Here is a 21,634-nt window from a genome sequence, read left to right on the forward strand (position 1 = left end):
TGCACAGCAAAAGAAACTATCATCAGAGTGAACAGGCAACCTACAGAATGGGAGAAAATTTTTGCAATCTACCCATCTGACAAAGGGCTAATATCCAGAATCTACAAATAACTTAATTTACAAGAAAAAAACAAACAACTCCATCAAAAAGTGGGCAAAGGCCACCGTCTGGGAAGTGTGGAGCACCTCTGCCCGGCCGCCCAACTGACTAGGAAGAGAGAAGCACCTCTGCCTGGCCGCCCTGTCTGGGAAGTGAGGAGCGCCTCTGCCTCACCCCTGCACCATCTAAGATGTGGGGTTTCAGAAGAAAGTAAAAGTAGATGTATATGTTCAATTTGCCATATTTACCAGTAAATCTGTTAATGTTTTACTTGAATAATTTTCTGATTTTTCAGAGGAAAAGATACTTCAGATAACTGCTTTAGATAAAAACAAGCCAAAAACCCACCTGCCCTATGTTTTCTGGGATTTATATAAGAAAGTACATTCATTTTGTTTTTCATCAAAGCTTTGACTCAGGTCAGTAAGTTGATTAATCAATTTTAGAAAACAGTTCTTTTCTCTGGGAAGATTTAAAAAAAATTGTCAATAAATATATGGACTTTGAAAGAAGTAAATACCCTTTCATTGATAATTAATTTTTTGTGCTCACATAAAACCAGCAACTTCCACCTGCAAACAGATTATTTTGGAAGACTGTTGCCTGAAGCTGACATTTCTTTCTGTTAGCACTGGCTTCATTCCAATGTTGACAGCCTAGTCCGTCAAACTAGAAGAGCCTCTGACAAAAGTGCCGAAGAACCAACATTGTGTCTGTCTTATTTTTTTTTTAGTACTTATTCACATAGAAAGTATCCAAGACAAAATTCAAGCTAATTTGTAGATGTGAACAAATGTTCATAATGTAAGGCATTATTCCCTAAAAATAATTGTATTTGGCAAGTTCAAAGTTGAGAACATCATCAAAAAGATGATCACAACTGCTATTGAAAAATGTATGTCTCTAGGAGCATTTCAAACATCTGTTGAATTTTCCCAATATTCCTAACCTTGGTAGAGATGACTCTGCAATATTTGTTTATGTTTTTGTTTGAAGAACTCTTAGGAAATTCACCTCCCTGAGCAAAGAGTCCCAATATTATATTTGAGGGACATGCTCCAAGTCATAAATCTCCTATGTCTCTGTGTAATGTCACTTCCTTCCGAGAGGCCTTTCCTGCCCATCCTATCCAAAATAGTTCCTGGCCTGAAGCCTACAATTCTCTCTTTTGCTTCCTTTATAACACGTATCTGAAATTATGTTGCCTATCATTTGACTCCCTTTAACTGTCTAGATACCCCCTACCAGAGGTAAACTCCACAAAGGCAAGGGCGTTGTTTGTCCTGCTTTCTCTGCACCCCAGCTCCAGTACCGTAGTCTTTACATTTCTTCAGCCTGACTGCTTCCCCAGCTGTTCATATTAATTGCTCCTTCACATTCTTCCTGCCCCAGTTCACCTTCTCAGAGAGACCTCTTTAACCACAGTGTCCAAAGTCTAATGACTATCTATTTCCTTCAGGACCTTCAGTTGCAAGAGATCAAAGGTGACTTCAGTTGGTTAAGCAGAAAGAGAGTAATAAAAAGATGTTTTGTGGTTTACAGAATTGTTGAGAGGGCTGGAGAGCTAGGCTTGGGCTCAGCTTCCAGAACAGCATCTAAAGCTATATTGCAGAAGCAGAATTTATCTGATGAAGGAGTAATTCTGGCTACCAAAGGCAAGTTGGCTGTTTTGTGCCCTATATTATCTTGTAGCCCCAGCTACTATTACAGGAGGGAGGGAGATAGAGAGTGAGAAGGAGATAGTGGGAAAGAGTGCTGGAGGAAGGGAAAGAAAGAGGAAGGGAGGGAGGGAGAAAGAGAAATTACCTGAACTATCCTTCCCTTTTGCATCAGTAGCCTCTAATTTAAATTCTAGCATGGCTGTATTATTAGTGGAGCCTAAGTAAAATGCCTGTCTCTAGCTGGAAAAAAGATACATAAATAACTCCTATGGGGGAGCTAATCTTTGCCTAACACCAAAATTCGTGCATTGGAGCATTCTTAAAGCATTAAAAAGTTGACAGATGAGTCCATTATAGTCCCATTCACATCACTTCATTCATTTCCTTCCTACCTCTTATTAGAATATTTAAATGCCCTGTTATTTATATTTATTTTTATTTTCACTAGAATACAAGCACAAAGAGGATGGGAACTTTATTAGTTTCCTATTGGCTGTTGTGAGAAGTTACCACAAATTGAGTACCTTGAAATAACACAAAACCTATCATCTTATAGTTCTGGAGATCAGAAATTTGACACAGGTCTCACTGGGACAAAATCAAGATGTTGTCAAGGCTGTGTTCCTTGTCTTATTGCCGCTCCTTCCACTTCAAAGCCAGCAACAGTGGATTGAATCCCTCACATTTTTTTTTCTTTTTCCTTTTTTTTTTTTTTAAATGTAGACAGAGTCTCACTCTGTCACCCAGGCTGGAGTGCAGTGGCGTGATCTCAGCTCACTGCAACCTCCACCTCCTGGGTTCAAGCAATCTTCTAGCCTCAGCCTCCCAAGTACCTGGGATTACAGGCATGCGCCACCACACCCAGCTTCTTTTTGCATTTTTAGTAGAGATGGGGTTCCACCATGTTGACCAGGCTGGTCATGAACTCCTGAGCTCGGGTGATCCACACGCCTTGGCCTCCCAAAGTGCTGGGATTACAGGTGTGAGCCACCAAGCCTGGCCTCACATTTTGAATCTATCTTTCTTTTATCTCGTCTTTCTCCCAGCATGAAAAAGGTTCAGATTTTAAGGACTCATACGATTAGATTAGGCCCACCTAATCCACGATAATTTTCCCATCTCAAAGTCCATACCCTCACATCTGCAAAGCCTTTATTTTATTTTATTTTATTTTATTTTATTTTATTTTATTTTATTTTATTTTATTTTATTTTTTGAGACAGAGTCTCACTCTTTTGCTCAGGCTGGAGTGCAGTGGCGCAATCTAGGCTCACTGCAAGCTCCCTGTCCTGGGTTCAAGCAATTCTTGTGACTCAGCCTCACAAGTAGCTAGAATTACAGGCATGCCCCACCATGCACGGCTAATTTTAGTATTTTTATTAGAGACGGGGTTTTGCCATATTGGTCATGCTGGTTTCAAACTCCTGGCCTCGAGTGATCCGCCAACCTCAACCTCCGAAAATACTGGGATTACAGGTGTGAGCCACCGCGCCCAGCCTACTTTTATTTTTAAAGACAGGGGTCTTTCTATGTTGTCCAGGTTTGTCTCAAACTCCTGAACTCAAGTGATCCTTTCACCTCAACTGGGACTACAAGTGTGTGCCACTGTGGCCAGCTAAAGACTCTGGCCATTTAAGGTAACTATTCTCAGGTTCTGAGAGAATAGTGCACAGACATCTTCAGGAGTCAGGATTCTGCCTACCACTGTAACCTTTTCTGTCTTCACTGTTTTATCCCCATTCTCAAATGATGCCTGCCACACACTCAATAAATACTGATGGGATGAAGGAACCTAGATAATAGCAAAGTTGCATCAGCTTCTCTGTGCTCTCTGTGCCTTACACTCAGTCGGACTTCTCTGGGGCCAAGTCTGGTAGTAGAGGGGGATGTTTAAAAGGCAAAATTCTATTAACAGCTTGTTGGGAGAAAAGATGACTGTTGGGAGAGAAGCTGAGGCAGGGCTTGCATGTCTGCTAGACTTGCTGGTTCCTTGCTTCTAGCACTCCTGTTATCTCAAGCAGCCATATGTTTCTCATTCACTTGATACACTGTTTCCTTTCAACCCCCACGTCCTGACCACCTGTTTGTTTGAGCACCAGTAAATAGCGTGGGCTCCCAGAGCTTGGGGCCTTTGCAGCCTTCACACTTGTGATGGCCCCCTGGTCCCACTTTCTCTCTCAAACTGTGTTTTTCTCAATCCTTTGATTCTGCTGGACTTCTTCACCCCCACGACCTGGTGTTGGGTCTGATCACCCCAACAACAGCCCATATGGGGGATGGCTGGCAGGGATGCTTCACCCAGAATCATTTTGACCTGGAATGCTGGGTCTCATATTTTCTACTTGTCCTGGCCATCCAAGCCCATATCATTGGCAGGCAGATGTAGATCATAGAAAAATCCTTGGAAACTTGGGGGTCCCAGTAATGAATGGGAATCTGAGACAGACCAATCACACTCTTACAAACCAATTCAAGGTACTCTGAATTCAACTAAACCATGGCACTGTGACTGCTCAGACAACTGAACATGTGTATTCAGTATATTCCCCAACAAAACCCTGTAAAACATCCTCGTGCATGTGCCGAAGTGTGTGGGTGGACTGAGACCACACAATTATCATGGCATCTCTTCCCAGAAAGTCAATTTGAATACTAGCAAGTATTTTAAAGGGCATTGCTTAAATGTAAGACAAACATGAGGTCAGGTGCAGTGGCTCATGTCTGTAATCCTAGCACCTGGGGAGGCTGAGGTTTATGGATCACTCAAGGCCAGGAGTTCAAGACCAGCCTGGACAACATGGAGAAACCTTGTCTGTACAATAAATACAAAAAAAAATTAACCTGGCATGGTGGTGAGTGCCTGTAGTCCCAGCTACTTGGGAGGCTGAGGTGGGAGGATGCTTGAGCTGGGAGGTTGAGGCTGCAGTGATTCCTAATGGCACCACTGCACTCCAGCCTGGGCGACAGAGCGAGACCCTGTCTGAAAACAAAAATGAAAACAATAAAAAACATGAACCTGTTATGGGGTAGTATATAATAATTGCTTAAATTTTTAAGGAAAACAACCACAAGATTTTAAAGGCATTTCAAACTTCCTGCCTTGACTTACCCTCAACAGTTCTCTTGTTCCCTACCATCACTGGTATAATTCTGTTGTTGGAGTTTTGCCACTCAAAACTTTCTCCTGTACTACCAGTTAGGGATGCTTTGGTAGAAAATGTTTTTTAAAAAAACTGTTCTAAACCTACCTAAAATATCAGCTATCTGGCTCATGATATGGTCTGATATAGAACAGACAGAAAGACTGTCCTATGTCAGACCATATCATGAGCCAGTACATATAGGAACATATAACAGTCTTTCTATCTTTCTGGGGCTAGAATGATCACTCATGAAAGATTACTAAGAAGTGATATTTTGCAGACCTTATTCAAGGTTGATAAAATCCAAATTCTTGCCTTTTGGGTCTCTGAACAGCACCATGGTGGCTGGCAAGAATAAGCGTTTTATGAAAGGTGGCTAAAAGGAAGCCAAGAAGAAAGGGGTTGATCCATTTTCTAAGAAAGACTGGTATCACGTGAAAGCACCTGCTATGGTCAGTATAAGGAGTATTGGAAAGACACTAGGATTCAAGGAACAAGAATTGCACCTGATGACCTTAAGGGTCATGTGTTTGAAGTGGGTCTTGCTGATCTGCAGAATAATGAAGTTGCATTTAGAATAAACTAGCTGATTACTGAAGATGTTCAGGGCAAAAACTGCCTGACTAACTTCCATGGCATGGATCTTACCCATGACAAAATGTGTTCCATGGTCAAAAAATGGTAGACCATGACTGAAGCTCATGTCAATGTCAAGACTACCGATGGTTATTTGCTTGGTCAGTTCTGTATTGATTTTATAGAAAATGCAACAATCAGATACAGAAGACCTCTTATGCTCAGCACCAACAGGTCTGTCAAATTCAGAAGGAGATGATGGAAATCATAAACACAGAAGTGCAGACAAACGACTTCAAAAAAGTGTTCAATAAATTGATTCCAGACAACATTGGAAAAGACATAGAAAATGCTTGCCAATCTATTTATCCTCTTCATGATGTATTCATTAGAAAAGTAAAAATGCTGAAGAAACCCAAGTTTGAATTGGGAAAACTAATAGAGTTTCATGATGAAGTTAGTTGTTCTGGAAAAGCTACTGGGGACAAGACAGGTGCTAACGTTGAATGAGCTGATGGATATGAGCCACAAGTCCAAGAATCTGTTTAAAGTTTGATTTTAATAGTGGCAAATAAAAAAGCCTATCTGTCTGCAGCCAATTGAGTTGACCGAGCTCTTTTCCTCCTGGGGGCTTGGTGTGCAATGGCTGCAAACAGCAGATTCCTTGGTAGTGTATGCAGCCTGCTTCTTGTATGGGTTGCCTCTAAGGGACCTTGAAGGCAGCCCTTTCCAGTGTATGTTCATGTCTCTGACCTTATGCTGTCCCAGTGTAGGCTGTAGAGAGGTGTGCAAGCTGCCTTTGGAAAGTTTCAGAGTATCATAGCCTGGGTTCATATTGGCCAAGTCATCAGGTCCATCTGCACCAAGCAGAACAAGGAGCATGTGATTGAGGCCCTACACAGTGCCAAGTTCAAGTTCCTGGCTGCCAGAAGATCCACATCTCAAAGAAGTGGTGCTTTATCAAGTTCAATTTGAATGAAGTTGGAGACATGGTGGCTGAGAAGTAGCTCATCCCAGATGACTGTGGAGTCAAATACATCCCCAATTGTGACTCTCTGGACAAATGACAAGCTCTGTACTCATGAAGTCTTCCACTGTGTGGCCATCTCCTAATGCCAACCAATAAATCCTATCCATAAAAAAAAGAGTTCTATTTGTGGGGAAAAAAAATCCAAATTCTTTAATAAGGTTTCTAACTTCACAGATTCCTGAGTCAATGAATTTGACACCAAGATCCTTATGCAATAAGAAAGCAATGTTTCCTTGGTCACTCTTCTCCTACCTTTCTCTAGACACCCAAACCCCTAAGGTAACCATGAGCTTTTCATGGTGGCATCATTCCATGGAATTCTCAGGTCTCTAATCTAGTTCCGGACAGTAAATGAGTACTCGATATTTGTTGGCATTGCATTCTGGGACACCCTCCCCACATTCTTCATGTTCTAAAATGACCTTTCGCTTTTTTATTGTTCTTTCTCTGTTTTCTGCCCTGCAACCTCACCATGAACAATAAAACTGAGCTGTCACTAACTAATATCCTCCCATAACAGAGAGCCAAGAAAATTGATTATTCATTTAAAGTAATTCTTACTAAAATATGAATGGCCAGAAAGTATATTAGCTTATATTTTGAAAGTAGAAAAGATATTCAAATTATTTCATTCAATATGGTAGGAATTACATCTGTTTTGTTCCTTCTCAGATCTCTAATCCAGTGCCTGACAGGAAATGAATACTTGATATTTGTTGGTTGACTCGGAGAATATTTGGAGATGGTAGCTTTGAGTAAGGAAGGTATCTTAGTAGTCAAGTTTTTCTTTCACTGCCTATGTTTTTACTTATTTTGGCAGACATACAAATAAGGCCAATAGTTTTGTAGTGTTGATTGTTTTCACTACTTATAGCTAAAGATTTCCCTCATCTATGTTGTTGCATAATTTTAAATATATGTTAGGGTTTTGCTTTTTGGGGGAATGAATGTTTTGACTTAGAAATTTCTCTTCCTGCAAAAGATGTTTTAAAATTTTTCTTCTAGACCTGTTTGGACATACCCTAATAAAAGAATAAGCTCACAAGTGGAGAATTCTAATGCAATTCTCTATAGCATTTAACACATGGCAAGTGATCAATAAACACTGGCTGAAATAATTTTTTTTTTTTTTTTTTTTTGTGACAGAGTCTCACTCTTTTGCCCAGGCTGGAGTGCAGTGGTGTGATCTTGGCTCACTGCAACCTCCGCCTCCCAGGTTCAGGTGATTCTCCTGCCTCAGTCTCCTGAGTAGATGGGATTACAGGCACCTACCACCATGCTCAGCTAATTTTTGTATTGTAAGTAGAGACGGGGTTTCACCATGTTGGCCAGGCTGGTCTAGAACTCCTGACCTCAGGTAATCCTCACAGCTTGGCCTCCAAAAGTGCTGAGATTACAGGCATGAGACACCGCGTCCAGCTGAAATGAATTTGAAAGGCAATGTGGTAAGATCCAGAGCCTAAAATAAAACTCCAGGTTCTCAATCCAGACTCAGCCAATTGTGTGATCGAGTTCAAGTCATTTAACTACTTTGATGAGTGGTTTTCTCCCATTATTTCCGCATCCTGCTCCAAGCCCACTAACCTGTGAGGCTTAAGATCTTCAATTAAAGTTGTACTAAATTGTTTTTCAAGAAGATAAAAATGTCAACAATGGTACAAATTATACAGGCTATAATTGTTACACTTCCAGAAGGAGATTTAAGATGCAATACATAAAATATCAGCTACGTGGTTGCAATGAGCAATGATAGAATTTAATTTTGTTATATTTTCTGATGAGCTCATCCATGTTCTAGGTAAAAGCTAGACACAGAAAATAACATGGCCTCATGCTTAAGGGGAAATGTGTAATAGTGCCCACTGGGGAAATGGAACAATCAAGACGTGGCTCTAACAGTGACCTTGCTTGCCAGGCCTTTCCTGCCCACGTTCTCCTTCCTTTGGTCATCTTCTTCTTCTGGGAGTATACTTTCACTGGCAAGGAGTATAAAAAGCTATTACAAAAAGAAACCGGTAAAGTAATAAAATACTGACCCAGTGGGCAAGGGAATGAATTCTATCACTACAGAATGGTGTGTGGGAAAATATGTACAGGCAGGAGATGAATAAAAAGAGGCACTGTGCCTGTTACGAACTTGAACAGGAATTTTTAAAAACCCTATCATCTCACTTTTTCCCTGCTTTATTTTTCTGAATATACCTGACAGCTCAGAATTCCTCAGTGACTCTTTTTAAAAATTTCACATATTTTTGGTTCATCTTTTTTCCCTCCCTTTCGCAGTTTTTAAGCTCTCATCCTAACTTAAAAAATAAAAATTAAAAATAAAAAAGAATCACAGGGCTGGAGCTGGCATGTAACTCTTTGTCAGAGGATCCTCAACTTCTCTGCATTTGTGTCTCTTTATCTGTATAGTGGGCATAATAATACCTGTCTCAACTATGAAACAAGAACATGTGGCTAGCAAGTGGGAGGACATGGGCAAAAATTAACCTCTTCAGTGGCGTCATCACTATCTCTCCTCTCAAATCTCTCCTCAACTAGGTATAAGACTAGTTGCATGCCTCCAGGGCCCATGTCTTTTCATACTTTTCTATGGCCACATCCTCTTACTTGCCCACCCTGTAAATATTATTTTGTCTGTGCTGCCATCCCATTTTATTTTTTCTGTTTCTCTCCTGTTTTTAGTTCAAATGAACTAATAGCTTGTCAGTATTTACAGTCTATTTATCAATAACTTTTTAAAGCCACGTATAATTCCATTCCTGTGTGAAATTAAAATGGCTATTCTAATTCTTTCTTAAATTGGAACCATGTGAAATTTTCTTTAAAACCTATTAATCATATTTACATCATATTTTTTAAAATTAAGCTTTCTTATTAATCACATTTACAAATAGGAAAACTTGATTTTAATGTTCTTATATATTCACTATAGTTACTGATTTCCTCTTTGCTCTAACTGCCCTCTTTTGAAATTGCCCCTAAAAAAACACCTTTGGTGTTTATACACATAGAGTAGGATAAGTAGAACCAATTCCCCAAACTCCTAAAAATTTCTGTAGGAAACATATTTCCTTCACACTGTCCACACCAACTCAGTACTATGAAAACATTTTTTTCCTTTCATCTCTACAATGTGAAGAAAAAATAAAAATTAAAAGTTTGGTTCCCACATTACTTCAAGAATATAATTTTTTCTGTTAGATAAGGATCCCAAAATACTTCCTACAACATAGCCCCTACTGTTCCTTGTTTAGTCCAGACTATTGTTTTAAAGAAAGCAAATTAAACAAAGCTATTGGTGACAATGGACTGGAGTTCTCTGATGCAAAATTATAGATCTCAGGAGATATTTCAAATATGTCTTACCTAGTTGCTATTTATCATCAAACATACCCAAATGTTTGTAGTGTGTGAATATTTTAAAACAAACCTAGCATAGTGTCTGAGTACAGAGTTAAGTCAATAGTTTGGAAACATCCGTTTGTTTCTTTATATGCATTTAGCTACTGCTATACCTTTTTCAATGAATGAAGCAGACCTGAGCACACACAATAAAAGAAAGCAAAAATTACCAGGTTTGGACTTCACTTCACAGCTGGAAAGATTCTGTTGAGGCTGCCAGCAGGGGATCTTGCGTATTAATACCCTACCTGGAAGAGCTGACATGTTGGAAATGAGATTAACACCTTCCTGTTTTTACATTAACTAAGGCTAAAGTGTCATTTGCCTTATTGGGAGAAAAAAATTTAATACTGAGATGATGGGGTTGCAAACAAGGTATGGTTTTAAGAAAATGTTAAACTATGAGGTAGGGTTTTTGTGGTGGTGGTGGTGATCCTTTCAAGATAAATACCTGTACAAATAAAAGCCAAAACTATCAGGACAACTCAAAAGCTGAACATAAACACATGTAGCACAACAACTCCTTTTCAGGCCAATGCTAATTGATACGGTAAATAACTTGTCAGACTGCTTAAAAAATAAAAATAAATGAATACACTATGTCAAAGAGTACTGATGCTTAGGTATTTGTTGCCAATTCCAGACTAGCCAAGAAACAGAAGAGCTAATATAAATGATTTATTCATTCAGATATAAGATAGCACTTTTTAATTCTCTCACTTCACAATTCATCTAGTTACATATTTACTAAAGACGAGCATTTAGATGAAAAAATATTAAAAATTCTAATGTGAGGAAGCCTCAAAATCATTGTCATGTATAAGTGGGAATGAGTTGGGAGAAGCAGGCCAGGAGTAGCTTGACATCTCCCTCATCCAGACATGCTCAAAACAGGTACTGGTGGCCTTTTCTCAGGCTCAGAAGGCTGAGCTATCATCCATACGTATGTCATCTTCAGTTGATAGAGTCGCTCTGCTGTGCCAGGTCCTCTTGTAGGAGTGATAGAGAAACCAGAAAGGACAGATATGTTCTTTGTGCTCCAGGCCTCCTGGTCTGGGTGCAGACAGACATCAACAGTGGCTAGAATACAAAACTAACTCCAGTGGGTGAGAGAGGAAAGACATAAACATCCTCACTAGGAGCCCTGCGGGAGAGAGAACAACTCTTCTGGGAGGATCTGGGAAAATTTCCTAGAAGAGATGTGGTGTAAGTTGGATCCCACAGAATGGGTAGGGTTTTAACAGATGGGAAGGAAAAATGGTGGAGAGGACTTTCTAGGGAGAATGGACCAATTCATCATATTTTGACACCACAATCACATAGAGAATTATGGTGAAATAGACACCCAAAATATATCAGTGAAAAATATGTTGTTATGGAGATTATAGTCAGTAATCCACTTTTTTTTTTTTTTTTTTTTTTTTTGAGATGGAGTCTCGCTCTGTCGCCCAGGCTGGAGAGCAGCGGCATGATCTCTGCTCACTGCAACCTCCGCCTCCTGGATTCAAGCCATTCTCCTGCCTCAGCTTCCCGAGTAGCTGGGACTACAGGCGTGCACCACCATGCCCAGCTAATTTTTGTATTTTTAGTAGAGACGGTGCTTTATCATGTTGGCCAGCATGGTCTTGATCTCTTGACCGCATGATCCACCCGCCTCAGCCTCCCAAAGTGCTGGGATTACAGGCGTGAGCCACGGCACCCAGCGAGTAATCTACTTTTAAAAAAAACTATACATGTATACTGAATATACAAGTGATAAGAAAGAGGAATAAAATCGGCCTTTATTCTGCTTGCTAAATGTCTACTATTCAAGTTTTAAGAATTACACACACTGGTAGCTATTGTTTCTATTCATTTCAGAGCTTCTAATTGCTGCTATGGGGTCTCAATGAGAAAGAAGGGAAGTGGGGAGGAGGCAATGAAAATGCATGAGATTTTCAGGAATGCCAACAATGTGAAGTTGGAATCCTACTCTAACTACTTTCATTCATTCTTCCAAAGGTGACGGTGGTCTGTTGTGTTCAAAAGGAGCTGGAAGAGGAAAAGCAGTTTTAAGATAGCCCAAGGGACGGCAACTTAATGCCTCCCTAAGGAGAAACCACATGGGCTGTGCTGGTGGAGAGGATAATAATAGCAATAATAAAAATAAAAAAGAGTGTAGAGGTGGGGTGGCAAGGGTGGGGAAGGAGTCCTGATAACTTGGAATGAGGTGGGAGGAAGAGGTGGAGGTAACCTTTGCAGGTGTTTAAGGAGGATTTGTAAGGGATGCAAAAATAAGGACAACTGAAGCTGTGAGGCGGGATACAGGAACATATCCAGTGAGCTCCCAGGAATAATGGAGAGCACACATTGCATCATCAGGATCACTGAGACCCGAATCCTCTGGGGAAGTCATGTCTTTTTTGTACTAGATGTTTTGAAGCTTGAGCTGGGGCGGGGGGTGAGGCGGGGAGAGTGAAAGAGGAGGGGAAAATCACTGGGAAAAATTAAGCAGTCTGAAAGGAGGGTAAGATTATGAAGATAAATGTTTACATCTCTGCTGCATTGTATCTCTTGAAATGAAACTGTTTTTGAATAGTGCTGCATCTGTACTGTAAGAACGTGGGCATTGTGAACAAATTGACTGCCTCAGATGATTTGACACATTTTGATTTCTGCTTAGGAAAATATCTGTTAATCCTATTAGATAGAGTAGGAGAGGGTCCTGAGCAGGAATGCAAAAGATCAAATCCTTCCCCATCTTGTGCACACTCTCCCAATGCCAAGGTATTAAAGTCTCAGCTATTTCCAAAGACCCGGTGCCTCATCCCTGACCTGCTTGGCATTACATCAAAATCCATTCTTCTCCACCTTCCCATCCTTGCCTGGCAATAGCTAAAATCATGACAAAAGTGGATGGCTGCCCTCTTTCTCTGGCAAGCTAAAGCAGAAAAGCGATCTTATTTTATGCTTTCCTCTTCACGTAATTTTGCTTCCTTTCTTCCATCCTTCTTCCTATTCTTTTCTTCCTTCTCCCTCTCTCCCTTTTTTTTTTTTTTTTTTTTTTTGTCTTCTTTATGTGGCTTGCTGTTTGCTAATATCCAACTCCAGACCATTCTTTGTGTTTGGCAAAGGAAGCAGTTTTATTGTTTGGTAACTCCAGGGGGGATATAGTGTCTATGATGTTGTCTAGGCCAAACCTCCCCCAGGAAGGTTAACTACCTCTACCCTACTCTCAAAAGGGAAAGGATGGCAACCACACACTTGAACACCAGCCATTCTCTTTTGTGAGAAAGTGGATCTGTTCCTGCCCAGAAGTACTTTTTCTTTCCACAGTGGTGTAACTCAATGTTGCAATGCAATTAATTTACTGAGATCAGGACAAGTTATCTGGAATCTGAATCTATAGAGTGCACATTAGGAATAAGGGCAACAGAAGACAATTTTTTTTCCTAACGACTTTCTGAGAAAAGGTTCTTCTTGGAGCAACACCCAAGTCTGATCAAAGAGTCTGTTCATCTGTCTCAAGAGCCAACGCTGAAGCCCAGCATGGAGCTAAAAATATGCACTCACAGTCCTAGAAAATTGTATTCATTAAACTCTACCTACAGGTCCTCACCCAGAATCTGCTCTATGCCAAAGCAGCGTGCTGCTGTTAATCCTCCTTTATAGATTAGGCAGTAAAATAAAGAGGGTGGGGCTGAAATGCAGGGGAAGTCTGCACACGTGTTTGGAAAAGAAGAAAAGGAAAAGCACAGGGAATTCTTGTTCTCTCCTTCATGTTCCGAGTTGCCAGGGTTGTCCAGACACCACCGAGAGACACAGGGCTTTTTAGCGTTCACTGTATTTTCACTTCCACCGGGTAAGTGCTACATGTAAAATGGAAATTTAGAGACAAGATCAAATAAATGCCTTTCAAACTGTGGCACACTGTTATTTTTGGATCCCCTCCTTCTTTGTGTGTTAAGAAGGGAATAATAATAATCATAGCTGACATTGAGCACTTACTATGTGCCAAGCACTGTGGTAAGTTGTTATTTACATAATCTCATTTCATTCTTCAAGATCTCTGAGCTAGGTGCTTGTGTTGCCACCATTTTGCAGATGATGACATTACAGTTTAGAAAGGCAAAGTAACTTGAGCAAGTAAGTGGCAAAGCTGGGATTTGAACCCCAAGCTTCCAAAGCCTTGCTCTTAACGTCTATGCCACAAATATGCCATATCTAAATACTTCCCTTAAAAGTATGTTTTTTGGTTTTCATTTATGATTTTCGTGACTGCTCCTTAATAACAGTTCCACTATTATCTTAATGTTTACCATCTTCTGCAATCAAGTGATAGGGTTCCTTGGAAGCCGGAAGTGTGTTCTTCCTCACCCTTGTATCCCCTGCAGCTCTTAAAGCAAAGTATCTTGCACAGAATAGGAGCTAAATAATTATTTGTTGAAATGCACTTTACATTATCTCTGTATCTAAATAAAACCCATCTAAACAAGTCCACTTCCCAAACATTGGGGTTTTCCTCCTCTTTGTAGCCATCCCTTTCTTCTTGTTTTGTTTTCGAAAGGTTGATTTTGAACTGGAGGGACATTGCAGTTGTCTTCTCACTTAGCGGGATTTGAAAGTGAGAGTCTGTGTAGTGTTTTAGCCTGCCCTCAGCAATCAGGCCTCACACTCGCGAGGCTCTGATTGTAGGAGTTGCCTTATTTGCATTGATGAGGATGAGCCAGCTGCTAGAGCATACAGAACTGCACCTGACACAATCACCGAGTTCAGGATTAGCACGGGGAATCAGGAATCCACTGCGCTGGCTGCGTGGCAATCTCAGCCCTACATTAGAGTCACTCATGCAAAATGACCCAAATTTGCAATGAGCACAATTAGCAATCCAAAGATGCATGTTAATTTGGGTGCCTGATATTTTCTTACATTTCCCTAAATTAAAAATAATAAATACACTCTTTCCTAGACAAGTCTGGGCATGAAAACAATTCAGGGGATTATGAGTTTGTAAAAAAATGTGCAAACCCCAGAAAATGTGGATTTCTTTGGGTAACTAGCCACTGCCCACCCCCCTCCCCCCCGAAGTATTAAGTCTGGCATCAAATAGGGTAAGAGCTTTGTGGTATCATGCCCCTTTTTCATCAGTAGAAAACAACTATTTACAAAGAAAAAAATAATTATAGCTATAATAGGCAGAAAAGAAAAATTTAAGCATTAAAGAAAGGATCTGATATTTTAGATTATATACTAATATTTCTGAGATTATGTTTGGGTCACACATAACCACAGATATACTCAACTGTTTCAGAATTTACTAAAAGTACAAGAGATTGTGTTGAATTTTTATTAAACAGAGTTTATAAATCAAATTGAACATTCTCCAACTCTGGGCTGTGTTTCCATATGTTTGCAATCTATAGGTATTGAAATGCTCACCTATACTTTAGGAAAAAACAAACCACAACATTTTGCAAAGATTGAATAAATGATCATTCGAAGCAAAAGCATGCAGTTCAAAAGCTAAACCTCCCATTGGAGAACAGAAAATTTAATGAGCTTTTAATGGAATGCAATGCTCAGAGTAGTAAATTATTTGTTAGTTGACGATGCAATCAGCATGCTGATTAAGGTTGCTTGGTTTTTTACTAAACATTAACTGAATGAAAACGGGTAGTCCTTGTTCTGCTTGGGGGGCTTTAAGGAAGCAAATGGACTTTCAGAACAGAGATTGTCAATAAAGGTGAGTGCACTCCAGGTGTCATTTGAATATGATGATAAAATACTAGTGATAAATATTTAAAAGCATTTTAAATCCACAATGTTCGCCTAGGGTATTATGGACTCTGTTTAAAGAAACAGTGGGCCTTAGCAGGCCTAACAACAATCCCTCTACCTCTCTCTAGAAAGAAATATCTAGATCTGCTTTCTTTTATTACAAAAGAAAAAAGAGGGGTGGGTATGCTTTGAAAATATGAACCAGCATGGATGCAGAAACCAGGAACGTTTGGGAGTTTGGAATGTAAACCTAAAAAGAGACAAAAAGGACAAAAATCAAAACAAAGAAAAACTATTCTGACAGCAAATAAAAGAAACATCTGTTTCTCTGGATAGATTAAGATACAAATTTAATTACGCAGTTTCAATATTCCAATGTTTAAAAATAATTGCTATTAGAATATATATATTTAAATTTATAAATGATGGCATTCTGAGGGCAAGAAATATTGTGATATGGAGTTATATTCTGTCTAATTTAGAGGGTCTGAAAAGGAACAAAGAAAAAGAACAAAACTTGGAAATACCTTATATAATGCTTATTTTTGTTGTTTCATTGTTAATACAGAATTTATTTTTAAAATCATTTACTATATATTAATCGATATGTACATTAGTCATAAATTATTGATTTTGAGAGAGATTTTGTTACTGTTTAAATTGCCAGATTTATTTCTCTCCCAAAAGAGGGGTTTTTAGTTTGTTTTTCTCCCTACCAATTGAAGAATTGTGGGTTTGTAGGTTAATTTTCTTTGAACAGCTACAAAGTTCTTTTTCTATAAATCCCAATTAGTTTCATCATCGGTGATTCTGTGGCAATGATCAGGTACCCTTAAAATCCGATAAATAACTACCTCTCACTTTTAACTATTCCTGTTTATGACCCAAGAGGTTAAAAGCCTTTGACTGGCATTTGACTTCTGACCTCATATAAATGTTATCTTATCAGTTCCTGCTTGTTAACTTGTATTGAGTGCTTGTCCCTGATGGCTTTTAGATAAAGGGTTGTGGGGTTTTTCCTTTTTTTTCTTTTTAGTATATTTCCTATAGGAACTAAACCATTTGCTTTGTTCTTTGCCTAGTGCAGTCAAATCTGCTCAGTAACCTGCTATAAATCTATTAGAAAGAGCCAAATACGCTTTTATTTATTTCCTACATTATTTTTAGTTTAGCTTTATGGATGGAATTTTATGATAAAAATATATTTATTATAATTAATAGTATTAATTACTGGTGAGCTTAATCTTTTAACATGTTTGTCAGGAAGCTGGTTAGCTTAGTATTTTCTCTTTTTAAAAAAATATTAAAAATTTAAAAAAAATTTAGCTTTGCATTTTGCACCAGCATGAGATGAGTTAGAGAGATAATTTATGGAAATCTTGTGTCCCCAGACTTCAGAAGGCTGGCTAATGAGAGAGTCATCAGTAAGATATATCTTTTTTAAAACATCGAATCCAGACCATGAACAGTGCATTTTCTAACCTTTGGGGAGAAAGGTGGTGGCCTGGCGCTTTCCTTTGCCCTTCTGTTCTAAGAATTAAGAAGGATTTTGGCCTTTTATTCCATTTACAGCTGTGTGTGTTGTTCACACATTCAAGTGTGTATGTATGTGAGTCTAGTCACTATGTACAAACCTAAATACATTTGAATGTTTGCATTTTAATCTCTTTCCATACCTCGATGGCATCATGAGGGTATTCTGGGCAGATGTGGGTGCCTCAGAGCCTGCCTCATTTGCAAATGACCTACAATGTGATTTCTAAACAAAATATTACATTAATTTTCATGTGGAAAACAGGCAGTAAGGAGGGGGAAGAAGGAAGAGGCAGCCATCTTGGAGTCGTTTTGCCTTTTAGCCTCATTCTTTCGCCTCCTAAGCCTCGACAGTTAGAATATTATCTTTATTTTTAATTGGCCCTCAACATAAAGCAAGAGGCATATACAAGAGACCTTTGTATTCACGTTTAGAGTAGAAGGAAAGTTGTAACCTCTTGGACTTTAAATAATAACTGCTACTATAGCCAAGCTACACCTATTATTCTCTAACCTTCTAAATAAATATACATATAAATGAAGCATATGCCACAGCTTGTAAGAGACCTGTACAAAACTTATTAAGAGAAACAAATGTCTATTTGGACCATTCATTTACTGCTATCTAAAGAATTAATATGTCAGTAAAGTTATCTGCCCTTCCTCCTCCCCATTCTTTCTTTTCTCCCCAAACACACACTCACATGCACGCACATAAACACGCGCATTCAGACACCCCCACTATGGAGAAATGGCAACCCTGGAAACTTTTTTTTAAACAGGAATTCCCTTTCTCTTAGGTCATAGGTATTTAAGAAAGAGAGAGAGAGAAACAGAAACAGCTTTTACGTTTTATTTTATTTTAATTTTCTGTGTGTGGAGAGCAGCTATGGCTCCATAATGTCCCAACCCTGCTTTCATCATGCTCATATTCTGGCAACACACAGGTTTGATGCAATTTGTTCTAACTTTTCATTTCAACCATTGCTTTTCTCAAAGTGGTCAGAGTTTAAAGACTGCAAAAGCAGAGGGAAAAGAAATACCACGGCAGGGGGAAAAAACAAACCAACCCCCAAACTGGTGCTGGTATTCAGTGCATTGACACATTCTCAAATGTTTTCTCTGTAGTTATAACACAAAAGCGCTTTCTTCCCTGTTTTGATGTGTTAAAGACGGAAAGAGAGAGGACACTTCGAAGTGGTAAAATAAGTATTTGGAAAGCACAGGGAATGTATTTGTCTTTTGAATGTCCAGGATGTGTCAATAACGTGTTGATACTCTACCATTTAATATTAATTAAATTTTTAAAAATGGAAAAGAGATGAAAAGTTAAATTTAGGCACATTGTCTCTCATACGCCGAACTTTTAGCTATCAATGTTGCCTTCTGTTTTGTATAATTAGAAGTGCATCCAAAGCCAGTCACTTTACTATCTATAAAATAAGGATAACAAGGATGCTAAGTCCCTCTGAGAAGGGTGTGAGTGGATCAATAATACATTATTGTCTAATTTTGACATTTGGCAGAAGAAACCATAAACTTTTACTCCTGTAATGTCAGTAATCTGAACGAATTTTCCTAAGCAATATTATTTGCAGATTCTTTTACTGAGTGAAACAAATAAGAATTTGAAAGACAAAGATGACCTGGTTCTTAAACACTGGCTCCTATCTAAGGACCAAAATCTCTGAATTGAATCCCAGAGTCCTTTACAATTGTACTGTGTACCCCGGCTTTTTTAAAAAGATTTTAAAATGTAAGCTAGATGATTTCAAAACTGATGAAAGTTATGCCACCATTCTTACTTATATCTAATTCATGTTTTAATAGTCATAAGTTTTAGTATACCTAGAGTACAAAGAAGTGTTTACTTAAACCAGTTTCTATACCAGTAGAAACTAACTCCCCCAGAATATTTTTGATGTAATTATTTAAAATCATTTTAATTAGAAGAACAATAAGATGATAGGAAATCAAGGCCCTCGGGTTTTCTGTATGGCTGTATCATCCAGCTTCATAAAGTTACTTAACGAAGTATTTTAAAATATTGTTTATATGAATGTAAACTTACCCTAATTATATACTAAGAAATGTAGTCCATTTGATTTCTTCCCATTCCTGGCCTCAAAAATCAAACCTGCTCTGTTTGGAAAAAGCTGAGTCTTCTGTGATATCATGGACCTTTTTATATTTCAGCAAGGAAGTGGAGGTCATGGAGTCATAAATATCAAAATTTTCAGGACCCAAGCTGTAAGGTTTTATCCTTTCCTTTGTGAAGGCTGATGCAGATGGATTTCTAATTTCCTTTGATTTCTGTCCTCTTGTCTGTGTGTTTTCTTTATTTGTATAAATTGCATTGTCCTTTCTATAAGAATGTTTGAGCACACTCTCCCTGATAGATTCTCATTCTCACTCCCCTCAGCTTGTTTGAGGTTTAGAATGGGGGTGCTTTTCCTTATTTTAAAAGCTTTGCAATTTAGACTCCGAGAGCCAGGACTGGTTTTCTATCCATCGGGACCTGCTCAAAGGTCACACTCAAGATCATAAGCCATGTTCACATCCTTCTTATGGGAAAATGATAAAATAATATCCACAGGCATCTGATACTAGGGGCATGGCCTGGACACACACCTTGCCCTCTTCCCCTTGGCCTTGTCTGCCTTGAAGAATGAATAGATCCATCCCCAAAGTTGATGCTTCGAAGTGACCAGTCAGATGCTAGCAGGTCAGCTGGCTATCCTCTTGGATAGAGGGTCCATAAATTAAAGAAATGTTGGTGTGGTTGAAAGAGGAAGGTAGTCCAGCCCAAGGGAAGTCACGTAAATCTCTCCAGGAGCTTTGTTCCCAGTAGGGAGTGGGGGTGAGAGTTGGGGTAGCTCGGGGCTGTGGGCTGTTATTAATGCCCTGGCCCTCCTGCGGTGGGTGCTAACTTGTTGTGCATGAGAGCTGCCACCATCCTTCCCAAACATCGGGCGCTTGGAAAAGTCAAGCACAGTTGAGCCCTGATTTTCATTTAATAGTCAAAACCAAGATGCATTTGGGCTATGATGATAGGACAGCTCCCTTGAAAAGATTATTTGAACTACAAAGGCATTCATTTAGGGCTAGCAATGTTGCAAAAGGGCCCGCTAGAAATTAGCAGCCTGTCCTGGTATTTGGAGAGCAAGAGTGACAACTTATTGGAAGTTCTCAAGGAATCATTTATATTTCACACTCCACTAGGCAGCTGATTTGAGATTGTCTGTTAGCATAACAAAGGCTCTGAGCCTGTGAACTTCAGAAACCTTTCGACCTCTTAGCTGCTGGCATGAATAGCCCCCAGTCCTGCCTATAGAGATCTCCCAAAGCTCCCCTGTTCGTGGCTAAATTGTTAATCAGGGTAATTTAATATAGTTTTCAATATGCCTCATCTCTTATTGGGAAAGGTATTCACAGCTTCCCTACCCCTGAAAAAAAAAGTTCTTTTATTCAAGTGTGAGAGGGGCAGCTGCAGACAGACCCCCATCCCTTGCTTCTCCCCCTACTCCTTCACAGCAGCAATGTTCTGAGCAGCAACCATAGAGAAGGGCCAGAAAGAGAAACTCAGAACGACGATCCCATCCCCTGGCATGCACTCCACCCTGAACCTGAAACTTCAGCCTATTTATGCTGGGAACCGCCAAAACAAAAACCCAAGGCTCAGCCATAACTGAAACCTCAGAGTCACACACACACACACACACACACACACACACACACACGCCACACCTCCTTCTCCACCCTCCCTTCACCAACACCCTGCCCCTCCCCCCTCATCCCAACTAAGCTTCTCTTGTGTTTCTGGACAAAACGCACCAGACCCCAAGGCCTGTTAATTTTCATTTCTCACTCTGTCCAGGCAGCCCACACCGTCCTGCACGCTCCTTCACAGAGTCACACTCGGCCTGGCCCCTGCATCAACTCCCGGTGTCATATACACTTGCTCTCGCCTGCTCCCTCGCACACTATCAATTCACATGCACATTAGTTAGCTGAAAAGAGCCGGAGCACAAATATATTCATTTTAATCCAGTTAAGACCTAAGAGGTCTCCTAGGATATTATTCAATAGTTTGAAAACTAAGTATAAAATTCAGATTTTGCTACGCTGTTTCATCTCACAGAGGCCTACAGTATGCCTTTCTTTCACTTTATACCATGTGTGTATTCTAAAAAAGTAAAATAAAACCGAATAAAAAAAAAACAATCACAGGCAAAATACCCAGCTTCAGGCAGGCACTATGCTCAAATATTATTATCTTTTTAATGACTGTTTCTAGTACCCATGTGCACATCAGAATAGCAATTTTATACAAAGAAGGAAAAAGTATGAAGTCACTAATTACATTTTTAAAAATTAAAAATAAAAGGATACAATCTCTTAAACTTATTTTCTCTTTCTTTTCCAC

The 21,634-nt window shown here is 39.4% G+C and overlaps 1 long non-coding RNA gene, 1 other non-coding gene and 1 pseudogene across 6 annotated transcripts in view, besides 4 other annotated features; all 3 read left to right on the forward strand.

Moving 5' to 3' along the window:
* The window catches only part of TMEM161B-DT (TMEM161B divergent transcript), a 167,793-nt gene that overhangs the window by 107,821 nt on the left and 38,338 nt on the right, over nt 1–21,634 (forward strand). The window contains exon 1 of one of the 5 annotated variants that reach the window (NR_105020.1): nt 15,493–15,640. The exons of the other annotated variants lie outside the window; for them this stretch is intronic. This is a non-coding gene — a long non-coding RNA (TMEM161B divergent transcript). Of the gene's footprint in view, nt 1–15,492; nt 15,641–21,634 lie in introns of those variants that run through there. 5 annotated transcript variants of the gene reach the window in all.
* RPS3AP22 (RPS3A pseudogene 22) lies at nt 5,219–6,069 on the forward strand (annotated as a pseudogene).
* LOC124900200 (small nucleolar RNA SNORA70) lies at nt 6,070–6,205 on the forward strand. Its single transcript, XR_007059149.1, has one exon. It is a non-coding gene; the product is annotated as a small nucleolar RNA SNORA70 (small nucleolar RNA).
* Nucleotides 19,635–20,746: an enhancer, noted in NCBI's record as "VISTA enhancer hs268". NCBI's record gives its function as "enhancer in: neural tube[6/6] | hindbrain (rhombencephalon)[6/6] | midbrain (mesencephalon)[6/6] | forebrain[6/6] | cranial nerve[4/6]" and the evidence as "EXISTENCE:transgenic organism evidence [ECO:0001131][PMID:17130149]".
* Nucleotides 19,635–20,889: a biological region, named in NCBI's record as "CRE1 CAGE-defined tissue-specific enhancer".
* Nucleotides 20,013–20,889: an enhancer, noted in NCBI's record as "amplified fragment containing the chr5:87692532-87693408 (GRCh37) conserved CAGE region with expression in fetal brain, neurons and optic nerve". NCBI's record gives its function as "drives transgene expression in the brain and neural tube {active_cell/tissue: brain | neural tube}" and the evidence as "EXISTENCE:transgenic organism evidence [ECO:0001131][PMID:24670763]".
* Nucleotides 20,414–20,637: a conserved region, noted in NCBI's record as "conserved region; ultraconserved element uc.165". NCBI's record gives the evidence for it as "EXISTENCE:sequence alignment evidence [ECO:0000200][PMID:18176564, PMID:15131266]".

The sequence above is a fragment of the Homo sapiens genome, chromosome 5, assembly GCF_000001405.40.
Source record: "Homo sapiens chromosome 5, GRCh38.p14 Primary Assembly".
Classification (NCBI taxonomy): domain Eukaryota; kingdom Metazoa; phylum Chordata; class Mammalia; order Primates; family Hominidae; genus Homo; species Homo sapiens.